The sequence below is a fragment of the Homo sapiens genome, chromosome 9 (assembly GCF_000001405.40).
Source record: "Homo sapiens chromosome 9, GRCh38.p14 Primary Assembly".
Taxonomy (NCBI): domain Eukaryota; kingdom Metazoa; phylum Chordata; class Mammalia; order Primates; family Hominidae; genus Homo; species Homo sapiens.
In genome coordinates this window covers 6591291-6614597 of record NC_000009.12, presented here as the reverse complement: position 1 = coordinate 6614597, position 23307 = coordinate 6591291, and the positions used below count along the sequence as shown (strand labels likewise).

Sequence of the window (23307 nt, the reverse complement as noted above, 5' to 3'; positions counted from 1 at the left end):
GGACAACATAGTGAAACCCTGTCCCTACAAAAAAAAAAAAAAAAGATTGAAACCCAGGGCTTCAGCTGGGCGTGGTGGCTCACGCCTGTATTCCCAACATTTTGGGAGGCTGAGGTGGGTGGGTCTTTGAGCCCAGGAGTTTGAGACCAGCCTGGCCAACATGGTGAAACTCCATCCCTACAAAAAAATATAAAAATTAGCTGGGCGTGGTGGTGCATGCCTGTAGTCCCAGCCACTCGGGAGGTTGAGGTGGGAGGATTGCTTGAGCCCAGGAGGTGGAGGTTGCAGCGAGCCAAGATCAGGCCACTGCACTCCAGTCTGTGTGACAGAGCAAGACTCTGTCTCAAAAAACAAAACAAAAACCAAAAGCCAGTGCTTCTTAATACTTAGTAGTTTTGAAGATGCAAGGATATCTGTGAATCACTGTAGTGTTTAAGAGAATGCAGACAGATATGCTCTTTCTGGAGAGGAACATGGTACTATGCTCTGGGAGCCTTAGAACTAATTATCAGGGTGGGCGTGATAATTACACATGACTCACGCCTGTAATCCCAGCACTTTGGGAGGCCAGGGTGGGCAGATCACCTGAGGTCAGGAGTTCGAGACCAGCCTGGCCAACATGGTGAAACCCTATCTCAACTAAAAATACAAAATTTAGCTGGGTGTGGTGTCACGCACCTGTAATCCCAGCTACTCAGGAGGCTGAGGCAGGAGAATGGCTTGAACCCAAGAGGTGGAGGTTGCACTGGGCCGAGATCGTGCCACTGCACTCCAGCCTGGGTGACAGAGCAAGACTCTATCTAAAAAAAAATAAAAACCCCAAAAAACTAGTTATCATATATAATTTGGAATTCTACTTCTAAGAATGTATCCTTAGACAAAGATAAAGATCTTAACTATTATGCTATTTCTAATATTTGAAATCAAAAGTATTCAACTGGAAGGAACTCGTTAAATAAATCAAGATTTACCTGAAGAAATTATAACTTAAATAATTTATTTCATAAGTTATTTAATACCATAGAGCAGTTAAAATCATGTTTTTGAATAGTATTTAAAGATGTTATGTTAGACATTGTTCATGGAATAATGTTAACTGAAAAAAGTTAAGATACAAAAACTTCTTTTATTTTTAGTAGAGACAGAGTCTCGCTATGTTGCCCAGGCTGGTCTCGAACTCCTGGTGCAAGTGATCCTCCCACCTTGGCCTCCCAAAGTGTTGGTATTACAGATGTGAGCCTCCACGCCTGGCCAGTACTACTTTTAGTATAAATAGATTATGATGTAGAAAAGAGATTGGAAAAAATGCACCTGAATGTTAACTGTAGTTATGTTAAAGTTTGGAAATTAAGTGATTTTATTTTCTCAATAGTTATCTGGATTTTCCAACTTGTTACAAAGAACATGTATAACATAATCATAAAAAAGGTGGTAAATGTGTTCCTGACCCATAAGAGATGGTTAATGAATGGTAGCTGGTTTCTTTAACATTTGGAACATACAATAAAAAGAAAATTTAGTGTTAATCATCTTACCTCCCAGAGAAAACCAGCTTACATTTTGGTTCATCTACTTGTTTTTACAAACTTATAAAAACGAGAACGTTTTGTATTTTATGTATTTATTTTTTGAGACAGAGTCTCACTCCCGTCACCCAGGCGGGAGTGCAGAGGCGTGATCATGGCTCATTGCAGCCTCAAACTATCCTCCAGCCTCATGGTTATTTTTTGTTTTTTGAGATGGAGTCTCGCTCTGTCACCCAGGCTGGAGTGCAGTGGCATGATCTTGGCTCACTGCAACCTCCGCCTTCTGGTTTCAAGCGATTCTTCTGCCTCAGCCTCCCAAGTAGCTGGGACTACAAGCACGTGCCACCACACCCAGCTAATTTTTGTATTCTTAGTAGAGACGGGGTTTCACCATATTGGCCAGGCTCGTCTCGAACTCCTGACCTCGTGATCCGCCTCCTCAGCCTCCCAACGTGCTGGGATTACTTACAGGCATGAGCCACTGCGCCTGGCCTGATTTTTTTGTAGAGGTGAGGTCTCATATGTTGCCCAGGCTAGTCTCGAATTCCAGGGCTCGAGTGATTGCCCACCTCAGCCTCCCAGAGTGCAAGGGTTACAGGTGTGAGCCACCATGCCCAGCCTCCATCTACTTTTCTTTCATTACTTTTCTTTCTTTCTTTTTTGAAAGCTTTGAAACCAACATCTTCTTATCTTTGACAGGGAGTGTGGTGGGGAGGTTGCCTTTCCAAGCAGTACAATATCGAGACTTTGAAATAATTTCCTGAGACTTGTATTGGGGTGTTGGTGTGCGGCTATGTGTATGTGTGTGAGTGTGTGTGAGAGAGAGAGAGAGAAAGAGTGTGTGTGTGAGAGAGTGTGTGTTTGTGTGTGTGTGTGAGAGAGTGAGTGTGTGTGTGTGTATACAACAGAATGGATTTTTGCTTGAAGAGACTGGCTTAGCAACTGTAAATTAGTTTGCCAGATTCTAAGTGGGTGGTGAACTGGAATGAATGAGGCACACAATACATGGTGTAGGCAAATAGAAAGGGAAATCTGAACAGAAATGGGGTCATACAAAAGGCATAGACAACAGGCAGGCAGTTGTGATCTTGAATCAGACAAGATCTACACACATGGCTTGACACCGTGAAGACAGATGTGGCACTACTCCAGCCAAGTGCTTAGATTGCTTGGGTAATAAAAAACTTTCATTTTACTTGGAATCATTATTTGTCATGTAGAAACACATACACATGCAGGAATACACACATACAATCTAGTCCATCTGATAAATAGGAAAGACTTAGTATATCCATAAAGACAGGCACAAGATATACGACAGGAAGACAGAGAATAATGTTCCAAAGAATTCATCACAGCACAGAAAACAACAGAAAAAACAAGCAGTGTCTGCTAAAAAGGAAATGATAATTAGACAGTGTGAATATAATACTATGCATTCATTGAAAATGATGCTGTAAAACATATTTGCTGATGTGGGAGATGTTCATGATGTACTAATTTTTTTTTTTTTTTTGAGACGGAGTCTTGCTCTGTTGCCCAGGCTGGAGTACAGTGGCGTGATCTCAGCTCACTGCAACCTCCGCCCCGCGGGTTCAAGCGATTCTCCTGCCTCAGCCTCCTGAGTAGCTGGGACTACAGGCACGTGCCACCACGCCTGGCTAATTGTTTGTATTTTTAGTAGAGACGGGTTTCACCATGTTAGCCAGGATGGTCTCGATCTCCTGACCTCGTGATCCGCCCGCCTTGACCTCCCAAGTAAAATAGGTGAGGTGTGGTAGCTCTCGCCTGTAAGGATGAAGGAACTAAATTGGCTAACTGACATATCCAAAGCCACATTCTTGGCTAATAATTGAAGGAGATAAAGTTAGAATCCATGTTTACGTTGCCTTCTAAACATTTCCATCCTGGAATTTCAATAGCCATAGAGTTAACTGCCATGGACTCTTAGTAACTGGATAATGAGAATTCTTAAGTAGACCTCTATTAATTTCTTAGCATGTAGAACTTCTCCTGGTTAACATAAAACAAATATCCAAATAAATAAATAAAATGTTTGAGTATTACATGTTAGATTCTTGGATGCTTTCCTATTGTAAAATGTGAATGAGGTCTTTTATCTAGGGGAAAGATAATAGCAAATGAAATTTCTGTTTATGATATTATAGGTAGCCTCAAGTGCAGTGGCTCATGCCTATAATGCCAGCATGTTGGCAGGCCGAGGCAGGTGGATTGCTTGAGCTCAGGAGTTCAAGACCAGCTTGGGTAACATGACAAAACCCTGGCTGTACAAAGAATACAAAAATTAGCTGAGCGTGATGGCATGTGCTTGTTGTCCCAGCCACTTTGGAGACTTAGGCCAGAGGATCTCTTGAGCCTTGTACATTGAGGCTCAGTGAGTCGTGATCATGCTATTGCACTCCAGCCTGGGTGACAGAGCGAGACCCTGTCTCAAAAACCAACAAACAAAAAACAAAAAAACAACACCAGAGAGATAGAAAAATAAGTACTGCTTATCCCCAAACAAAGGGTAATATTGTTACTATGATTTAATTCTAAGCTTTACAAAGGCCAAAAAGAAGCTTACTGGTGTGTTATGTAATTCTCCTCAAGATAGGCAAATTATTTTCAGGTACTGAATTCTGAAATGATAGCATTTTGTGTGCTTCTCTAAACAGCAGTCAGTTTGGACAAGACCTTTTGTTTCCCTTGCAGGATCACCCAGTATACTCCATACCAGCCTGAGGTGTCTCAGGGGAGGCTGGAGAGTTTACTCAACTACCAGACCATGGTGTGTGACATCACAGGCCTGGACATGGCCAATGCATCCCTGCTGGATGAGGGGACTGCAGCCGCAGAGGCACTGCAGCTGTGCTACAGGTGAGAGGCCTCTCAAAGTGCTGGAATTCCAGTTGTGGGCCACCTCGCCTGGCCTTGTTTTCTTTCTATAGTATATTGTGAATATTACTTTAGTCAGCTTTCTAGAGTATGACTTTTCAGAGAAACTGAAAAACTCAACAGGTTCAAAAACCTAGAGGTTGGATATTTCCTCTCAGGGTCCTTCTTGGTGTCTCCACCCGGATTTTGGTTGGGGTTGGGGAAGATCAGACGGGAGGGCTGAGGTTGGCAGGCGAGGGGTAAAGACATCTGCATATTTGGTGAGGGGACTATTTTTGGGAGGAAGGACAGGGAGCCGGTGCCAGGTCCCCCACTGGGAAGTGCTGGCTTGGGGAAGCAGCCAAGCGCAGGCCTGGGGGCTGCGAGGGTGGGCCAGCAGGGTTGTTCAGGGGACAGGGTGAGGTCTCTCAAGGCAGGGCAGTGAGGCTAGGGTGGAAATGTGACCTTAAACAGCTGACTCGGCACCTAGCTTTGGGAGGGCAGAGGGCGGGAGCAGGGGAGGGGGAAGCTCAATTAGGAGTGGACTTTGGATAGATGTGGCTGGGGGTGGGGGTGAGGGTGTTTCAAGGGCAGGTGTGGGTCAGACGTGAGGATCTCCCCCATAACACACACACATGACTGAGTGCCCGGGAGCCTCTCCGTTGTTCCAAACCTTGGCAGCATAGCTGAGTGTAAAGGCATGAGGGTCTCTGTTTGGTGGGGTTGTAAGAGGGTAGTGACAAAGGTCCTGGCACTGTGGTCAAGGGTGGATTCTCAGGCCCATAGAGTAGGACTTCTATTATCTCCATGGCACTTACATGGAAGTGCCATAATTTATTTAATCTCTCGTCTATTACACATATAGTTTATTTCCGTCTCTTACTGTTATTAATAGTACTTCATGTGCATCCTTATAATAAATCTTTGTCAAAACTTCTGATTATTTCCTGAAGAGCCATTTCTGGAAGTGGACTTACTGAATCAGGATGGTTCTCCATTTCTTCTGCTTCCCTTATTTGCCTTGCCAGTACTTAGGAGTGTACCTTCCTGGTGGAATTCTCATGTAGATGGCCATCTGGTTGGGAAAGACGCACACATGCTGGCCGTGTCTTAGGTTTTGTGCTCCTAGCCCTGAATGCCCATGTAAGCCTCTTTTTTGGCTTATGCAGAGTTGGGGTGGGGAGTGAGCTCCATACTTGGTCAGCAAGTTTAGAGGCCTCTGGTGCATTCCAGCCATAGGCCTTTCTGATTCCTGAGCAGCCGTTGGGGGTGGGTTCAGGTTCTCCCTTCTGTCAGGGACACACAGCCACAAAAGAGTGCCATCCACCCACCTCTCTGGTTATTATTCTCAGCTTTTTGCTAATTTTCATCTTCCCTCTTTTTTTAAAAAATTGCTTTTTATCTTATTTCATTTATTTATTTATTATTTATTAATTTATTTATTTATTTGAGACGGAGTCTCGCTCTTTCGCCCGGGCTGGAGTACAGTGGCGTGATCTCTGCTCACTGCAAGCTCCGCCTCCCGGGTTCACGCCATTCTCCTGCCTCAGCCTTCCAAGTAGCTGGGACTACAGGTGCCTGCCACCACGCCCGGCTAATTTTTTTTTTTTGTATTTTTAGTAGAGATGGGGTTTCACCCTGTTAGCCAGGAGGGTCTCGATCTCCTGACCTCATGATCCGCCCGCCTCGGCCTCCCAAATTGCTGGGATTATAGGCGTGAGCCACTGAGCCCGGCCGAGTTAATTTATTTGTTTTAATTATTTTGTTTTTTTTGAGACAGAGTCTCACTCTGTCACTCAGGCTGGAGTGCACTGGCGCTATCTCGGCTCACTGCAAGCTCCGCCTCCTGGGTTCACGTCATTCTCCTGCCTCAGCCTCCCACGTAGCTGGGACTACAGGTGCCCGCCACCACGCCCGGCTAAGGGTTTTTTTTTTTTGTATTTTTAGTAGAGATGGGGTTTCACCCTGTTAGCCAGGAGGGTCTCGATCTCCTGACCTCGTGATCTGCCCGCCTCGGCCTCCCAAAGTGCTGGGATTACAGGCGTGAACCACCCCGCCCGGCCCTCAATTGTTTTTTTGAGGCAGGGTTTGACTTTGTCACCCAGGCTGGGGTGCACGATCTCAGCTCACTGCAGCCTTGACTTCCCCAGTTCAAGTAATCCTCTTGCCTCATCCCCCCAAGCAGCTGGGACTATAGGCCCATGCCACCATGCCCAGCTAATTTTTGTATTTTTTGTAGAGATAGGGTTTTGCCATGTTGCCCAGGCTGGTCTTGAACCCCTGAGCTCGAGCAATCCACCCACCTCAGCCTCCCAAAGTATAAGGATTACAGGCGTGAGCCACCATGACCGGCCAATTTTATTTTTTTAATACAAAAATTGGCTGGGCATGGTGGCACATGCCCGTAGTCCCAACTATGTAGGGGCGGGGTGCTGAGGTGGAAGGAGCACTTGAACCTTGGAGGTCGAGGTTGCAGTGAGCTGTGATGGCGCTACTGCACTCCAGCCTGAGCGATAGACCGAGACCCTGTTCTCCCCCCACCAAAAATAAAATAAAAATAAATAAATAAACTATTTTATTTATTAATTTATGTATGTATGTATTTATTTATTTAAGACAGAGTCTCGCTCTGTGGCCTAGGCTGGAGTGCAGTGAGGCGATCTTGGCTCACTGCAACCTCTGCCTCCCGGGTTCAAGCAATTCTCCTGCCTCATCCTCCCGAGTAGTGGGATTACAGGCGTGCACCACCATGCCTGGCTACGTTTTGTAGTTTTAGTAGAGCTGGGGTTTTGCTATGTTGGTCAGGCTGGTCTTGAACTCCTGACCTCAGGTGATCCACGCACCTCGGCCTCCCGTAGTGCTGGGATTACAGGTGTGAGCCACCGCACCTGTCCAGTTTACACTTGTATCTAATCACTGTCCTTTGCTTTATTTTCTTTTTCCTCATGGTATATTTGAAACATTTTGAACCATTTTTTAAAAATTGTTATTGAGTAAACATAGAAATTGAACCATCTTAAGACTGACTTTCTAAATGGGGTTAGAATGGGAATTGGATCTATGAGGAATGCTAATCAGTAAATGCCATTAGTTACTGATGACTCAATTTTTTTTTAAATTTTTTTTTTGAGACAGAGTTTTGCTCGTCTTACGCAGGATGGAGTGCAGCAGCGGTGCAATCTTGGCTCACTGCAACCTCGGCCTCCCTGGTTCAAGTGATTCTCTGGCCTCAGCCTCCCAAGTAGCCGGGATTACAGGCATGCACCGGCTAATTTTGTATTTTTAGTAGAGACGAGGTTTTATCACGTTGGCCAGGCTGGTCTCGAACTCCTGACCTCAGGTAATCTGCCCGCCTCGGCCTCCCAAAGTGCTGGGATTACAGGCGTGAGCCACCGCACCCGGCCTACTCAGTATTTTTTATACTGTGCTTAGACTTACCCTCGGTACTATGTTTGCTTTGCGTTCTTAGAAGATAGTCCTATTTATTTAATGTTCACGTTGGAATGTGCTTTTTCTTTTCAACAGACACAACAAGAGGAGGAAATTTCTCGTTGATCCCCGTTGCCACCCACAGACAATAGCTGTTGTCCAGACTCGAGCCAAGTAATTAATTTGATTCGTGTTTTAAACTCAGTATAATGTCATGTTCATCTCTGCTGTTTCTTTCTCTTTCTCACTTCCAAACTGATTGGAGGTGAATCTGAAACAGGGTTTTTTGCTGTTTAAATTGGGGTTGCTGAGTTTTGCCTTACCTCTCACTTTCTTCTGGGCATCTCTCTGGTAAGTAAACTGTGTCAGAATTGAGTGGGGAAATACACAATTGCCATTGCTTTATAGTAAGTTGTGTTTTGTTTTCTTCTTCTTCTTTTTTTTTTTTTTTTTTTTGAGACGGAGTCTCGCTCTGTCGTCCAGGCTGGAGTGCAGTTGAGGGAACCTAGGCTCACTGCAAGCTCCGCCTCCCAAGTTCACGCCATTGTCCTGCCTCAGCCTCCCGAGTTGCTGGGACTACAGGTGCCCGCCACCACGCCTGGCTAATTTTTTTTCTATTTTTAGTAGAGACGGAGTTTCACCGTGTTAGCCAGGATGGTCTTGATCTCCTGACCTCGTGACCCGCCCACCTCCGCCTCCCAAAGTCCTGGGATTACAGGCTTGAGCCACTGCGCCCGGCCCGTTTTGTTTTCTTTTTGTAGAAAGAATAAAAATATTGTTTTGATCAGGTTTTGGAACGTTTGAAAAACAGAGAAAAATGGGACTCACATACAACTGTTAAGATTTTGTGTGTATTCCTTGCAAACGTAGTTTACAGAGGGTGTGCAGAGTCCCTAGGTGAGATGCTATGTAGTTTAAAGTGTAGTACTTTTCTTTCGTGCTGTAATCAGGTAAAACAATCCTCGCAACAACCACTATTGGTAGATATTTGCTTTCCCTTTGTAAAAGTTGAGCATTCTTCCCCCTACCCATACCACCATCCCTTCAGAGGGGGGGTTTCTGACATATAATTGGCATTATTAGTTCAGGAATCTAAGGAAGTTCTTCCTCCTTGTCTTACTTATGGTTTTCCATTCACTTAAGAGTGATGCCAGTGAAAGAGGTGATGGCTCTGTTGTTAACAAATATTGGCTCATTAGCCCTAGGAAGCAATGCTCTTGGGCCTCTCTGAGGAGTAGATTGTGACAGGAAAGGGCAAAGGGGAGTCAGAGGATAGAAGAGAGGAACAGAAGCAGAGCTGTTGGATGCGCTTGAGTTGCTGTGATGTAGTTACCACTGAAGTGCCTGTGGGACGGGATGTGGGCAGGGGTGGGAGGCCACTGTGGGAGGGCACAGAAAATGAATGCTGTCTTACTGGAAAAGAAACGTTAATTAATTTTCCCTTATAAACCGAAAGCACGATTGTTCTTTGTTGTCTGTCTTTCCAGATATACTGGAGTCCTCACTGAGCTGAAGTTACCCTGTGAAATGGACTTCAGTGGAAAAGATGTCAGTGGAGTGTTGTTCCAGTACCCAGACACGGAGGGGAAGGTGGAAGACTTTACGGAACTCGTGGAGAGAGCTCATCAGAGTGGGGTAGGTATACCTTTCTTGTGGGGGGTCCGTGGAGGCGTATCCCAACTTGTATCTGTCTACCTATCTCTCTCTCTGTCTTTTCATGTGCCTTAATTTCTTTACCATTATCACATGGAATGGTAAAACTCTCCTTCCTGACTCCTTGCTGCTACTTTTTTCTGTTCCCGGATTCCTGGCACATGGTGGGCACTCAGTATGTATTTACTGAATGAATGAATGAGCAATGGAGTTCACAGGATGTGAACACACTCTGCCCGTCTTCCTGTAGTTAAGATAATTTCCTACTCTCCCACTACTCTCAGGGAAAGGTAGCAACCTTGTTCCTTTTCTCTCACTTCCTTTCTAGAGCCTGGCCTGCTGTGCTACTGACCTTTTAGCTTTGTGCATCTTGAGGCCACCTGGAGAATTTGGGGTAGACATCGCCCTGGGCAGCTCCCAGAGATTTGGAGTGCCACTGGGCTATGGGGGACCCCATGCAGCATTTTTTGCTGTCCGAGAAAGCTTGGTGAGAATGATGCCTGGAAGAATGGTGGGGGTAACAAGGTAAAGGGGCTCATGTTTCTCTACTTTTATTGTGATTATGATTTCCCTGATTTCTTCTGATCACAAATGTTGATTTCTATCTGAATTCAACTGGGCCATGTTGAGTCAGTTAAGGAAATGTACAACATAGATTCAGAAGAACAATTCTGTTTGGGATATGAGCTAGTACTTCTCAAATACTATAAATTTGTAAATTTTTGAAAAATTTTGTGTATAATTTACAATGTATCGAAGTCATGTAACGCATTTGCTTAGATTGATGGACGCCTTGAAAGACTAAATATTTTAGGCATGTTTTGTGTCTCGACAGTTTTCGTTCTCAAAAGCATTATGCCACGTGGCTCTGTAAAGACAAATGCACTGAGACTGCAAAGTACACACTGAGTTTGCTCCGCGTTCCTTCCTAGAGGCTTCCGCCACGTGGCCATTTGAGTAATTTCCAAATTTCCAAATGTACTTTCCTGACTGCTTCTCATTGGTGAAACTTCTCAGATTAAAAACGTAGATGTTCAGAAGTAGTCTTTGTTCCTTAAAAAAAAAAGAAAAGAAAAGAAAAAAAGGGCTGGGTGCGGTGGCTCACACCTGTAATCCCAGCATTCTGGGAGGCCGAGTCAGGCAGATCACAAGGTCAGGAGTCCCAGACGAGCCTGGCCAATATGGTGAAACCCTGTCTTTACTAAAAATACAAAAATTAGGTGGGCGTGGTGGTGGGCGCCTGTAGTCCCAGCTACTTGGGAGGCAGAGGCAGGAGAATCACTTGAACCACGGAGGTGGAGGTTGCAGTGAGCCGAGATCGCGCTGCCTCACTCCAGTTTGGGTGCAGAGCGAGACTCCATCTCAAAAAAAAAAAAGAAAAAAAAGGAAAAAAAAGGAGCGGGGGACCTAGATGCATTCCAGGATTATTACTGGGGAAATTTAGAAAAAAAAATTATGTTTTTGACCTTTGATAAAAGCTGGACTTTAACATAAGTGAGTAAGCTGAATTAGTCAATGATGTGATGATAATGTGAAGTGTGTTTTTTTAAAATTTTATTTATTTATTTATTTATTTATTTTGAGACCAAGTCTCACTCCATCACCCAGGCTGGAGTGCAGTGGTGTAAACGTGGCCACTGTGTCCAACTAATTTTTTAAATTTTTTGTAAAAACAGGGTTTCACCATATTGCTCAGGCTGGTCTTAGGGCTCAAGTGATCTGCCCACCCCAGCCTCCCAAAATGCTCGGATTACCAGGTGTAAGCCACCATGCCTGGCCTCTGTATACTTTAAATCATCTTATTAACACCTAATGTTATGCAATGGTTGTTACACTGTATTGTTTTTAAAAATTTGTGTGATTTGTTTTTTTTTTTTTATTTTTTGAGACGGAGTCTCTCTCTGTCACCCAGGCTGGAGTGCAGTGGTACGATCTTGGCTCACTGCAACCTCTGCCTCCCAGGTTCAAGTGATTCTTGAGCCTCAGCCTCCCAAGTAACTGAGATTACAGGTGCCTGTCACCATGTCTGGCTAATTTTTGTATTTTTAGTAGAGATGGGGTTTCACCATGTTGGCCAGGCTGGTCTCAAACTCTGGACCTCAGGTGATCCGCCCACCTTGGCCCCCCAAAGTGCTGGGATTATAGACATGAGCCACCATGCGCGGCTCATAAAATTTGTGTGATTTTTAATTGTTGTATTATTTTTTATTTTTTTGAATGTTTTCAGTCCGTGATTGGTGGAATCTGTGGTGTAGAATCCACAGAGAGCCAAGTCTTTTCAATTTTGTCGTATATTTCCACTTTTCCTGTGTCTCCTAAGAAGTTCAGAGTGAAACTTAATCCTCCCAGTCACCATTATTGTATTTGTCTGGGAAATTCCTGCAAAATTTTCTTTCAAAATTCCTAGACTTATTGTATATATCTTGGTGTCTCAGAGTACAGTCTAAAAATCAGTAATCCTGCTGGGCACAGTGGCTCATGCCTGTAATCCCAGCACTTTGGGAGGCCAAGGCAGGCGGATCACCTGAGGCCAGGAGTTCAAGACCAGCCTGGCCAACATGGTGAAACCCCATCTCTACTAAAAATACAAAAATTAGCTGGGCGTGGTGTCAGGAGGCTGATGCAGTAGAATCGTTTGAAACCAGAAGGCAGAGGTTGCAGTGAGCCGAGATCACGCCATTGCACTCCAGCCTGGGCGAAAGAGCGAAACTCCGTCTCAAAAAAAAAAAAAAAAATCAGTAATCATGTTTAGATGAGGAACGTTTAGAAATTGTTTCTTTATAAATTTGCACCCAAGTGCATTTGCTGAATTCACTTCAAGCTGGGAAGGAAAGAAGTAATTCTATTTATAGCATCTCCCAGTGCTGTGATTATCTGTGCTAACTGGATGCCTTATTCTTGGTGTAGAGATGCCACTGGGAAAGAAGTGTATCGTCTTGCTCTTCAAACCAGGGAGCAACACATTCGGAGAGACAAGGCTACCAGCAACATCTGTACAGCTCAGGTAAATCACACGTCTGACCTGACTACTGAATGCCTTACGATACACAGAAATGAGCTACTCATTCATTCATTCATTTGTTCATTTATTCACCACCTCCTGAGCAGTGAGCACACCAGAAATGGCAAGATCTTATTGGTGTAGAAGGCTCATTGTCTTATGAGAACCAAAATACAGTATTGGCTGGGTACGGTGGCTCATGCCTGTAATCCCAGCACCTTGTGAGGCCAAGGCAGGCAGATTGCTGGAGCCCAGGAGTTGGAAACCTGCCTGGGCGACATGGCGAAACACCATCTCTATGAAAAATAAAATAAAATAAATTAGCCGTCAGTGGTGGTATGCTCCTGTAGTCCCAGGTGCTAGGGAGGCTCAGGTGGGAGGATCACCAGAATCTGGGAGGTTGAGGCTGCAGTGAGCCATGATTATGCCACTGCACTCCAGCCTGAGTGACAGAGGGAGACTCTGTCCCCAACTCCTGCCCCCACAAAAAAAGTTAAAGAAAAAGACACTGTGTTTTACTGGTGTTCTTTATATGTACACCATTTGCCTATGCTTTCTCTTCACCATACATGTTTTAATACTAAAAAAAATAAAAAGCATTATTTGTTTCATTTTACCCATAATCACATCTTCAGATCCTGAACAGGCAAAGCGTAAGAAAGGACAAAAAAGGCCAGTCTTCACTTTTATATACAGACTTAAAATATATGTAAATAGAAAGATGGATATCAGGGTCTCTAGTATTCTTGGCGTTGGGCCAGGTTTGTTATGGGTGGCAGTTGAGACACCCTCTCTTAGGACTGAGAAGGAGCCTCTCCAGGAATGGGTTGAGGAAGGCAAAGCAAGGGCATTTGTGATGACTGTGCTTGAGGGGATGGTGGTAGTCATGAGGCACTCTTACTGGGAGATTATGACTGGCATTCTTTTTTTTGTTTTTTCGAGACAGAGTTTTACTCTGTCGCCCAGGCTGGAGTGCAGTGGCGCAATCTCAGCTCACTGCAACCTCTGCTGCCCGGTTTCAAGCAATTCTCCTGCCTCAGCCTCCTGAGTAACTGGGATTACAGGCGCCTGCCACAGCGCCAGGCTAGTTTTTGCATTTTTAGTAGAGACGGGGTTTCACCATCTTGGCCAGGTTGGTCTTGAACTCCTGACCTCATGATCCACCCACCTCGGCCTCCCAAAGTGTTGGGATTACAAGCATGAGCCACTGCACCTGGCCATGTCTGGCATTCTTTAAAAGGATGGGATAAAACAGGAAGAGCTTCCTGGGTTCTGACCAGGGTTCTGGGTTCTGCTCCTTGAAGTTGCTCCAGGGCTTAGGTCGAAGTGTTTGTGAAACCCAGCCAAACCCTAGGATCAGTTGGAGGCCCACTCCTGAGCACAGGATCCATTCTAAGTGCATCTCTTTTTTTTTTTCTTCTTCTTTTTTTTTCTTCTTTGAGATAGAGTCCTGTTCCTGCGTCACCCAGGTTGGAATGGGGTGGCGCAATCTTGGCTCACTGCAACCTCTGCCTCCTGGGTTCAAGTGATTCTTGTGCCTCAGCCTCCTAAAGAGCTGGAATTACAGGCCACCACACCCAGATAATTTTTGTATTTTTAGTAGAGGCAGGTTTCATCATGTTGGCCAGGCTGGTCTCAAACGCCTGACCTCAAGTGATGGTCCTGCCTGGGCCTCCCAAAATTTTGGGATTGTAGGTGTGAGCCATGGCACCTGGCTTCTTTTTTTTTTTTTTTCTTGAGACAGATTCTTGCTCTGTTGTCCATTCTGGAGTGCAGTGGCATGGCCATAGCTCACTGCAGCCTCAACCTTCAACCTCCAGGGCTCAAATTATTCTCCGGTCTCAGCCTCCTAAGTAGCTGGGACTATGGGTACATTCCACCACGCCCAGCTAATTTTCAAAAAAATGTTTTGTAGAGGCGAGGTCTCACTTTGTTGCTCAGGTTGGTCTCAAATTCCTGAGCTCAAGTGATCCTATCTTGGCCTCCCATAGTGATAGGATTATAGGCATGAGCCACCGTGCCTGGCCACTGTAATTGCATCTCTTCCATGAAGTGTCAGAGAGAGATGTCACAGGTGCTTCAATGGGAGGTAGAGTGCTCTTTCGTCTCAGGGCTTTGGCGTCTAGAACCACCTCTGAAAAGCTTCTCCAGGAAGGCAGTGGGCAATAAGATCTTCTTATAGTTGGTTCTGCAGCCACGGGTCTTTGGAGCCATTTCCTCAGTTGGTCCTTTTGTATTATGTTTTGCCTCAGGAAGGTGCCACCTCTTTTCAAATATGAGCTCTTCCAGTATGATAGGAAGGAAAGGTGGTTGGCACAGGCTTTTCCTCTGTTGAACAGCAAGCTGATCTTTATTTATTTATTTGTTTTTTTGGTTGTTTTTTTTTTTTTTGAGATGGAGTCTTGCTCTGTCACCCAGGCTGGCATGCAGCGGCCCAATCTCAGCTCACTGCAACCTCTGCCTTCCAGTTTCCAGCGATTCTCTTGCCTCAGCCTCCTGAGTAGCTGGGATTACAGGCGCCTGCCACCATGCCCAACTAATTTTTCTATTTTTAGTAGAGACAGGGTTTCACCATGTTGGTCAGGCTGGTCTCGAACTCCTGATCTCATGATCTGCCCACCTCGGCCTCCCAAAGTGCTGGGATTACAGGCATAAGCCGCCATGCCTGGCCACATGGTGATCTTTATATGGTGGCCTCACTTTCTGTAGCTTACCCTCCATTTGTTGAATTCTCTGCTTACGTTTTCCCTTTCGGTGCAGCTGACTGCTCCTGTCTTGCTGTTTCTCCTCAGGTTCCTCCAGGTTTCCGTCTGATCATAAGTCCATTTAGGGCCTCAGTTTTCTGCCTCTAGGTTCATTTTCCAGGTGAATTTGGGCTGTCTGCAGTGAACCAGTTATGTTCCTGTTTCTTTCTTTTTTTTTTTTTTGAGACGGAGTCTTTCTCTTGTTGCCCAGGCTGGAGTGCAATGGCGTGATGTCGGCTCACTGCAACCTCCGTCTTCCGGGTTCAAGCGATACTCCTGCCTCAGCCTCCTGAGTAGCTGGGATTACAGGCACCCACGACCATGCCTGGCTAATATTTTTTGTATTTTTAGTAGAGATGGGGTTTCACCATGCTGGCCAGGCTGGTCTCGAACTCCTGACCTCAGGTGATCCGCCCGCCTTGGCCTCCCAAAGTGCTGGGATTACAGGCATGAGCCATTGTGCCCGGCCTTATGTTCCTGTTGCTTAATTTCTTCCAGTTCATGTATAGCTGATAATTTATTATTTAACTTGGGTTGAAAGGTCTGTATCTTTTCCAGCAATTGTTAAAATGTTTGCCCTGGAGATGGCCATACTCCAGCTTGTCTGATTTTCATCCTCTTATTCTGATGATCTTCTAACTCTTCACTGTCTATTTCACTGCATATGTGCCTTTTCATAGTTGATTGCATACAAGAATTACTCATAACTCCAGTTTCACTCTTTGTGAGCATGCAAGTCTCCCTGTTTTGTTAGGAGATGACTGGTGTCTTTTGAGTTGTTCCTTTTGTGCTGTAGGTCTTTGACCCCCGCCTTCTGTTGTAGCAGCTGTTCCACATTCTTCTCACTCTTGCTCTTCTCTCTTGTCACTGGGGTGGGTGGGGGAGTCCACTCTTAGTTTCGCATCGTGGATGGGGCATGACTCTTTTTTAATCTCTGAAAGTGTGTTAATGATTCTTTTTTAAATAAATTTTTCTATAGGGAGTCTCTCTGAGCCTATTCTGGCTCAGCAGGCCCCATTCTAAAACAAAACTGAAAAAACAGGGTGCGGTGGCTCACACCTGTAATCTCAACACTTTAGGAGGCCAAGGCAGGAGGATTACTTGAGTTCAGCAGTTTAAATCCATCCCAGGCAACATAGTGAGACTCCTGTCTATATAAAAAAAGTACAAAAATTAGCCAGGTGTTGTGGTACACACCAGTATCCCAGCTACTCAGTAGACTGAGGTGGTAGGAGTGCTTGAGCTGGGGAGGTCCAGGCTGCAGTGAGCTGCAATCACACCACTGCACTCCAACCTGGGTGACAGAATCAGACCCCACCTCTACAAAACAAAAAGGAAAAGAAACAATTTTTTCTATAAATTTGTGGCATTACTACAGATGTCTGAATTTTCATTATGTTCTGTTCTTTATATTCTCTTATTTCTTTTTTTTTTGGAGACGAGTCTCGCTCCATCGCCCAGGCTGGAGTGCAGTAGCGCCATCTCGCTCACTGAAGCTCTGCCTCCCGGGTTCACGCCATTCTCCTGCCTCAGCCTCCTGTGTAGCTGGGACTACAGGTGTCTGCTACCATGCCTGGCTAATTTATTGTATTTTTAGTAGATACAGGGTTTCACCATGTTAGCCAGGATGGTCTCGATCTCCTGACCTCATGATCCACCTGCCTCAGCCTCCCAAAGTGCTGGGATTACAGGCGTTAGCCACCATGCCCGGCCATATATTCTCTTATTTCTTAGCTTCTACCACAATGAGCAGCTCTTTCATTGGCTTTTCTTATTTTTAATATAAAAATCTTTTTAAAATAGAGATGGGAGTCTTACTTTGTTGCCCAGGCTAGTATTGATCTCCAGGCCTCAAGCGATCCTCCTGCCTCAGCCTCCCAAAGTGTTGGGATCACTGGTGTGAGCCACTGCATCCAGCCTTGTTGGCTTTTCTAAAGTCAGGTGTAGTAAAGAATAATTTACACTTTATTAGCTTTTTTTATTGAGATGTAACTCACCGTAAGTTTCACCAATTGCAAGTATACAGCTCAATGGTTTTTACTCTATTTACAAGGTTGTGCAACTATCACCAGTATTTAATTTCAGAATATTTTTATTACCCCAAAAAGAAATTCTATTCCTATGAAGTAGTCACTCCTCATCCCTCTCCCCTTCCTATAGCCCCTGGCAACTACTATTCTACTTTCTGTCTCCCTGGATTTGCCTGTTCTGAATATTTCATATAAATGGGATCATACAATGTGTGGCCTTTTGTACCTGGCTTCTTTGCATAAGGTTTTCAAGGTTCATCCATATTGTAGCATGAATGTGTACTTAATTCTTTTCTATGGCTGGGTAATATCCCATTGTTTGGACATGCTACATTTTGTTTATCCATTCATCAATTGGTAAACATTTGGGGTGTTTCAAATAAGCCTGCTGTGAACACTTCTGTGTAAATTTTTGTATGGATGTAATGTTTTCAGTTCTTTTGGTTATATTCCTAGCAGTGAAATTGCTGGGTCATATAACTCTACATTTAACATTTTGAGGAACTTCCAGACATTTTTCAAAGTGGCTGCATTATTTTACTTTCCTACCAGCAGCATATGAATATTCTAATTTCTCCGTATTTTCACCAATGCTTGTTACTTCCTATCCTTTGGTTATAGCCATCCTATTGGATGTCAAGTGATAATCTCACTGTGGTTTTGTTTTGTATTTCCCTAATAACTAATGATTTTGAGCATTCATTAGCTTTTGAGGCTTTTAAGTACCTTAATTGTATTATTGTTATTTTATTTATTTATTTTAGAGATGGGGTCTTGTTATGTTCTTCTTGCTGGTCTTTAACTCCTGGGCTAAAGCAATCCTCCCACCTTAGCCTCCCAAAGTCTTGGGATTACAGGCGTGAGCCACTGATTCAAGCCCTTTGTATTTTTAAGTTTGTTCAATTTGTGAAAGAAATTGTCATTTTCTTGGTCTCTATTTTAATTTTTTTGGTTCTTCTTTTGATATTCTAGTGCCCTTTGAAGTTTTTAAAAAGTGGTTTTATACTTCTCATCAATTTGTTGTTCAGCCGTGTGATATAGCCTCCTGATTATGGAAGGAATCATCTGTAGATTAAAAAGGGACATGAACCAACCTCTACAATATTGTGGTGGAGGCTGCCAGGGCATTCTGTGAATGTCAGGCCTGGGTTTCTGTTTCCAGCAACACAGCCATGAGCATTTGGGCACAGTGTGTCACAGATTCTTTACCTCAGCCTCGCCTTTTCCACAGCTGTAAAGTGCTGTGGAGTTTCTGTGTTTATTTCTGATTGTTGTAAGGAGTCCATAAGAGTGTTTACACTTTGTCTAGGACTTTTAGTACAAGAATGCCTACTTCCATGTTTTCTGATGTCTCTTTCTCCTCATTTACTTCCTTGTTTGCTGACTTCACCTTTGGAAACTGTTTCTTATTTTGCATTGGCTCCATAGAGACTTCCTCTAGTAGTCTAGCAGAAAAAAAGATGTACCTAACAAAATGGACCCAGTATTGAACATCAACTGTATTTTGCAGAGACAGGGTTTTGTATTGTCAACCGGGCTGGAGTCCAGTGGCGCAATCATAGGTCACTGTAACCTCGAAATCCTGGGTTCAAGTGATCCATCTCGGCTTCTGGAGTCACTGGGACTACAGTTGCACACCACCCCGCTCCCAGCTGAAGTGCGCATTGCCGTTTTTGCCAGTCCTTTGCCACAGATTCTCCATTCAACTCTTGGTTGGCAGAAGTTCAGCCTCTAGTGTTTTATTTAAGTTCTTAGGAGAATTTTATTCCTGAAGTTCTTGAATGTTTGAAAATTGCTTGTTTCTTTTTATTCTTGAAGAATTGCCTGGTTGAGTGTAAAATTCTCAGATCTCACTTTTTCTCCCTGAGGTCTTTATTGCTTCACTGTCTTCCAACATTAAACATTGCTTCTCAATGTCTGATGGTAGTGTGATCTTTGCCCTTAAGGGTGACATGATTTTGTTGCATGGAAGAAGCCCTTCGTAATGGTCAAATGTGAAGGTTTAGTATAGTAACAACTCCAGGGTGTCTTGGATGATGGTTCCTTTCAGGTAGTCAGGCAGGTTATATATTAATTGTCCCCAACTATCAAAGAATGTAGGAAATCTGATCATTTTGTTTTGTCGCTGTCTTCAGTTTTGACATCCCAAGTCAAGTAATTACACCCTCCCACTAATTGTCCTCCATCACGTGATTCTTTAAATGTTCTTATCTTTTAGGCCCTCTTGGCGAATATGGCTGCCATGTTTGCAATCTACCATGGTTCCCATGGGCTGGAGCATATTGCTAGGAGGGTACATAATGCCACTTTGATTTTGTCAGAAGGTGAGTTGGTAATCTGTCTAAAACATTTGGGCATAATAAAATTGATAAATTTGAGTAAAATTGAAAATATTGCATGTCCAATACTATATGCAAAATTAAAAGTCAAGTGAGAAACGAGGAAAAATACTTTCAACATCCATGATTATTTTGTTGTTTTGCTTTCTTTCTTTCTCTTTCTTTTTCTTTCTTTCTTTCTTTCTTTCTTTCTTTTATTTCCTTTTTCTTGCTTTCTTTCTTTTTTTCTTGCTTGCTTGCTTTCTTGCTTGCTTGCTTTCTTGCTTTCTTGTTTGCTTGCTTGCTTGCTTGCTTGCTTCCTTGCTTAATGGAGTCTTGCTCTGTCTCCCAGGCTGGAGTGCAGTGGCACGATCTCAGCTCACTGTAACCTCCACTTCCCGGATTCATGTGATTGTCCTGCCTCAGCCTCTCAGGTAACTGGGATTAAGGTACACGCCACCATGTCTGGCTAATTTTTGTATTTTTGGTAGAGACAGGGCTTTGCCATGTTTTCCAGGCTGGTCTCGAATTCCTGACCTCAAGAAATCCGTCCACTTTGGCCTCTCAAAGTGCTGGGATTACAGGCGTGAGCCACCATGCCTGGCTTAGACTGAGTGTTAATATTTTTTTCTCTTTTACTCCTGGCAAGCTGTGATATTTTTAATATGTAGAACTCTTACTTTCCTACCGGCCCCAAACATAAGAAGGATGAACACCCTAATAGAAAAATAGGCAAAAGACATTAAATGTAATTTTAAAAGAAATAAGTATACAAATAAATGGCCAGTAGACATAGAATTTTAGCCTCATTATTAATGAAAGAGATACAAAATAAAGCAATAAACTAGTATTTATCCCATTACATTGGCAATCAGAAGAATGCTGCTATGTAGTGAGCTAGACATGGTTACTCGTGTATGTAATGTCAGCTACTCTGGAGGCTGAGCCAGGAGGATTGCTTGAGGCCAGGAGTTCAAGACCAGCGTGGGCAAGAGCGAGACCACATCTCTATAAAAAAATAGAAATAGGCCAGGCACAGTGGCTCATGCCTGTAATCCTAGCACTTTGGGAGGCTGAGGCGGGTGGATCACTTGAGGTCAGGAGTTCAAGACCAGCCTGGCCAACATGGTGAAACCCTGTCTCTACTAAAAATACAAAAATCAGCTGGGAGTGGTGGCATACTCCTGTAGTCCCAGCTACTCGGGAGGCTGAGGCAGGAGAATTGCTTGAATTTAGGAGGCGGAGGTTGCAGTGTGCCAAGATTGCTCCACTGTACTCCATCCTGGGCAACAGAGTGAGACTCCATCTCTCAAAAAAAAAAAAAAAAAGTGATTAAATCATGGTTCATCCATATGTTTGACTATTGTACAGCCATTAAATATGGTTTAAAATAGTGATCTATAGGAAAGCATAGATGAGACCAGGTGTGGTGGTTCACACCTATAATCCCATCGTTTTGGGAGGCTGAGGTGGGAGAATTGCTTGAGTCCCAGAGTTCAAGGCCAGCCTGGGCAACATGGCAAGATCACTGTCTTCAAAAAATTTAAAAAATTATTAGCCAGGTGTGATGGCATGAGTCCTTGATCCCAGTTACTTGGGAGGCTGAGGCAAGGGGATTGCATGAGCTTGAGCCCAGGAGTTTGAGGATGCAATCAGCTATGATCATGCCACTGCATTCCAGCCTGGACAACAGAGTGAGACTGTATCTCTCAAAAAAAAAAAGGTATAATTTTATATATATATATATATATCTGATACTACCTGCTCCCCCATTTCTTGAGAAATAATACACCAAAATACACGCAGTAATGCAATTGTATGTTGATTTTCCTTACTCTTTTATATGTATTTCATAATTTTCTACAGCATGATAATAAACATGTTTAGTTTTTTAAAAAGCAATCACCAAAGCACTCCCCAGGACCAACAAGAGTCTAGTAGAATTTATCTCTTTATTATTCTGTGACATGTCAATGGCTGAGGAGCAGGTTTCTATATGAGAGTTTGGGGGATCTCCTATCTTGTGTAGGTCTCAAGCGAGCAGGGCATCAACTCCAGCATGACCTGTTCTTTGATACCTTGAAGATTCAGTGTGGCTGCTCAGTGAAGGAGGTCTTGGGCAGGGCCGCTCAGCGGCAGATCAATTTTCGGCTTTTTGAGGATGGCACAGTAAGTCAAATTTTCAGTATTTTTACCAGTTTTTCAAATTTTCACATTGTTTCTCATTAAAAGGTTTTCTCTTTGTTTTTAAAAAATAAAAAGGAAAACTTTAGGCACAGTCCTATTTTTTCATAAACAAGTGTTATTTACATTATGCAACACTGTGGTCTTTTCAGTAAAGGATCATTCACCCTTTGCTTTCTTTTAGACTTAGTGTTTTCATATGTGGGACTGAAATGCACATATTTTGTTCATAATACTCCTCTCTTCACAGTATGACTGACTTTAAGATAAAGGCTCTGATAACTGATATACAGGTTAAGGGAAGAAAATCTCCTCAATATCTGATAAGTGGGTTAAGGGAAGAAAAAGATAAGCATGTCTAGCTTCAAAAGGAGTGTCCTGCAGCCATGGAATGTTAGAGTTCAGAGGTGGCTGGCAAAACTCGAAGCCTTGTGAAACCTGGGACTGGTCTAGCCACCTTCCTCTAAGCCTTAGCGTGGAGATAATTGTACCCTGATATTTTGGAATGATGGGATTTTGTTTAGCACTGTCTCCCCTTTGACCTCTCTTGGGATTCCTCCAGTGATGTGGAGTTTAGAGTTGATGTTTTCCATTTTGTTTGTGTTTCTGTAGCTTGGTATTTCTCTTGATGAAACAGTCAATGAAAAAGATCTGGACGATTTGTTGTGGATCTTTGGTTGTGAGTCATCTGCAGTAAGTAAAATAAAAACATGCGTTCCTCATCATAACTATTGGAGGTGGTAGCAAAAGTAGCTTATCCCCTGAGTGTGAGGGAGAAGGGGCCCAAGTGTGACACTGGTAGCTTGTTGTTAAAATTATTCCACTGACTATCCCTTGCTAGTCACTGCTGACAGCTGGAGGTCACTGCTGTAGGGCTCCAGCCAGTATTATGCACCCAGGCTAGTTGGAAAGATTGTTAATGGTGTTTCATTGAAAGTGCCTCTAGGCTGGGGATGGTGGCTCATGCCTGTAATCCCAGCACTTTGGGAGGTCAGGGGGGCGGGGGGGCAGATCACCTGAGGTCAGGAGTTCAAGACCAGCCTGACCAACATGGAGAAACCCCGTCTCCACTAAAAATACAAAATTAGCCAGGCATGGTGGCACATACCTGTAATCCCAGTTACTCAGGAGGCTGAGGTGGGAGAATTGCTTCAACCCAGGAGGCGGCGGTTGCAGTGAGCTGAGATTGCGCCATTGCACTCTAGCCTGGGCAGCAAGAGCAAAACTCCATCTCAAAAAAAGAAAAAAGAAAGAAACTGCCTCTACTACAAAGATGCAAGACATTTGTATCTTGGTTATGTCATTCATTGGAAAATTATGATATTCATTTAATACATATTTATTGAGGACCCAATATGTGTCAGGTGCTATGCTAGGCCCTGAAGACACAGTGGTGAATTAGACATGCTTCTTGTCCTCCTGGTGCTTACAGTTTATTAGGGATTCAGATAAACAAGCTTAAGATTAGAATCCAGGTGACTGATGTGTGAAGATGTTCTGGGAGCTCACAGGATGAGCTCCTTACCAAGAAGATAAGCAGGAGTT

General features: G+C 43.8%; 1 protein-coding gene across 1 annotated transcript in view, besides 1 other annotated feature; it reads left to right on the top strand.

Moving 5' to 3' along the window:
- The window catches only part of GLDC (glycine decarboxylase), a 113263-nt gene that overhangs the window by 31132 nt on the left and 58824 nt on the right, over positions 1-23307 (top strand). Inside the window, exons 4-11 of the mRNA NM_000170.3 lie at positions 4242-4406; positions 7929-8006; positions 9320-9467; positions 9814-10010; positions 12393-12489; positions 19479-19584; positions 21608-21747; positions 22375-22455. Of these exons, the coding sequence (NP_000161.2) occupies positions 4242-4406; positions 7929-8006; positions 9320-9467; positions 9814-10010; positions 12393-12489; positions 19479-19584; positions 21608-21747; positions 22375-22455 (1012 nt within the window). The remainder of the gene's footprint in view (positions 1-4241; positions 4407-7928; positions 8007-9319; positions 9468-9813; positions 10011-12392; positions 12490-19478; positions 19585-21607; positions 21748-22374; positions 22456-23307) is intronic.
- Positions 15911-16150: an enhancer, noted in NCBI's record as "active region_28187". NCBI's record gives its function as "activates an Ori minimal core promoter by ATAC-STARR-seq in GM12878 lymphoblastoid cells {active_cell/tissue: GM12878}" and the evidence as "EXISTENCE:reporter gene assay evidence [ECO:0000049][PMID:35858748]".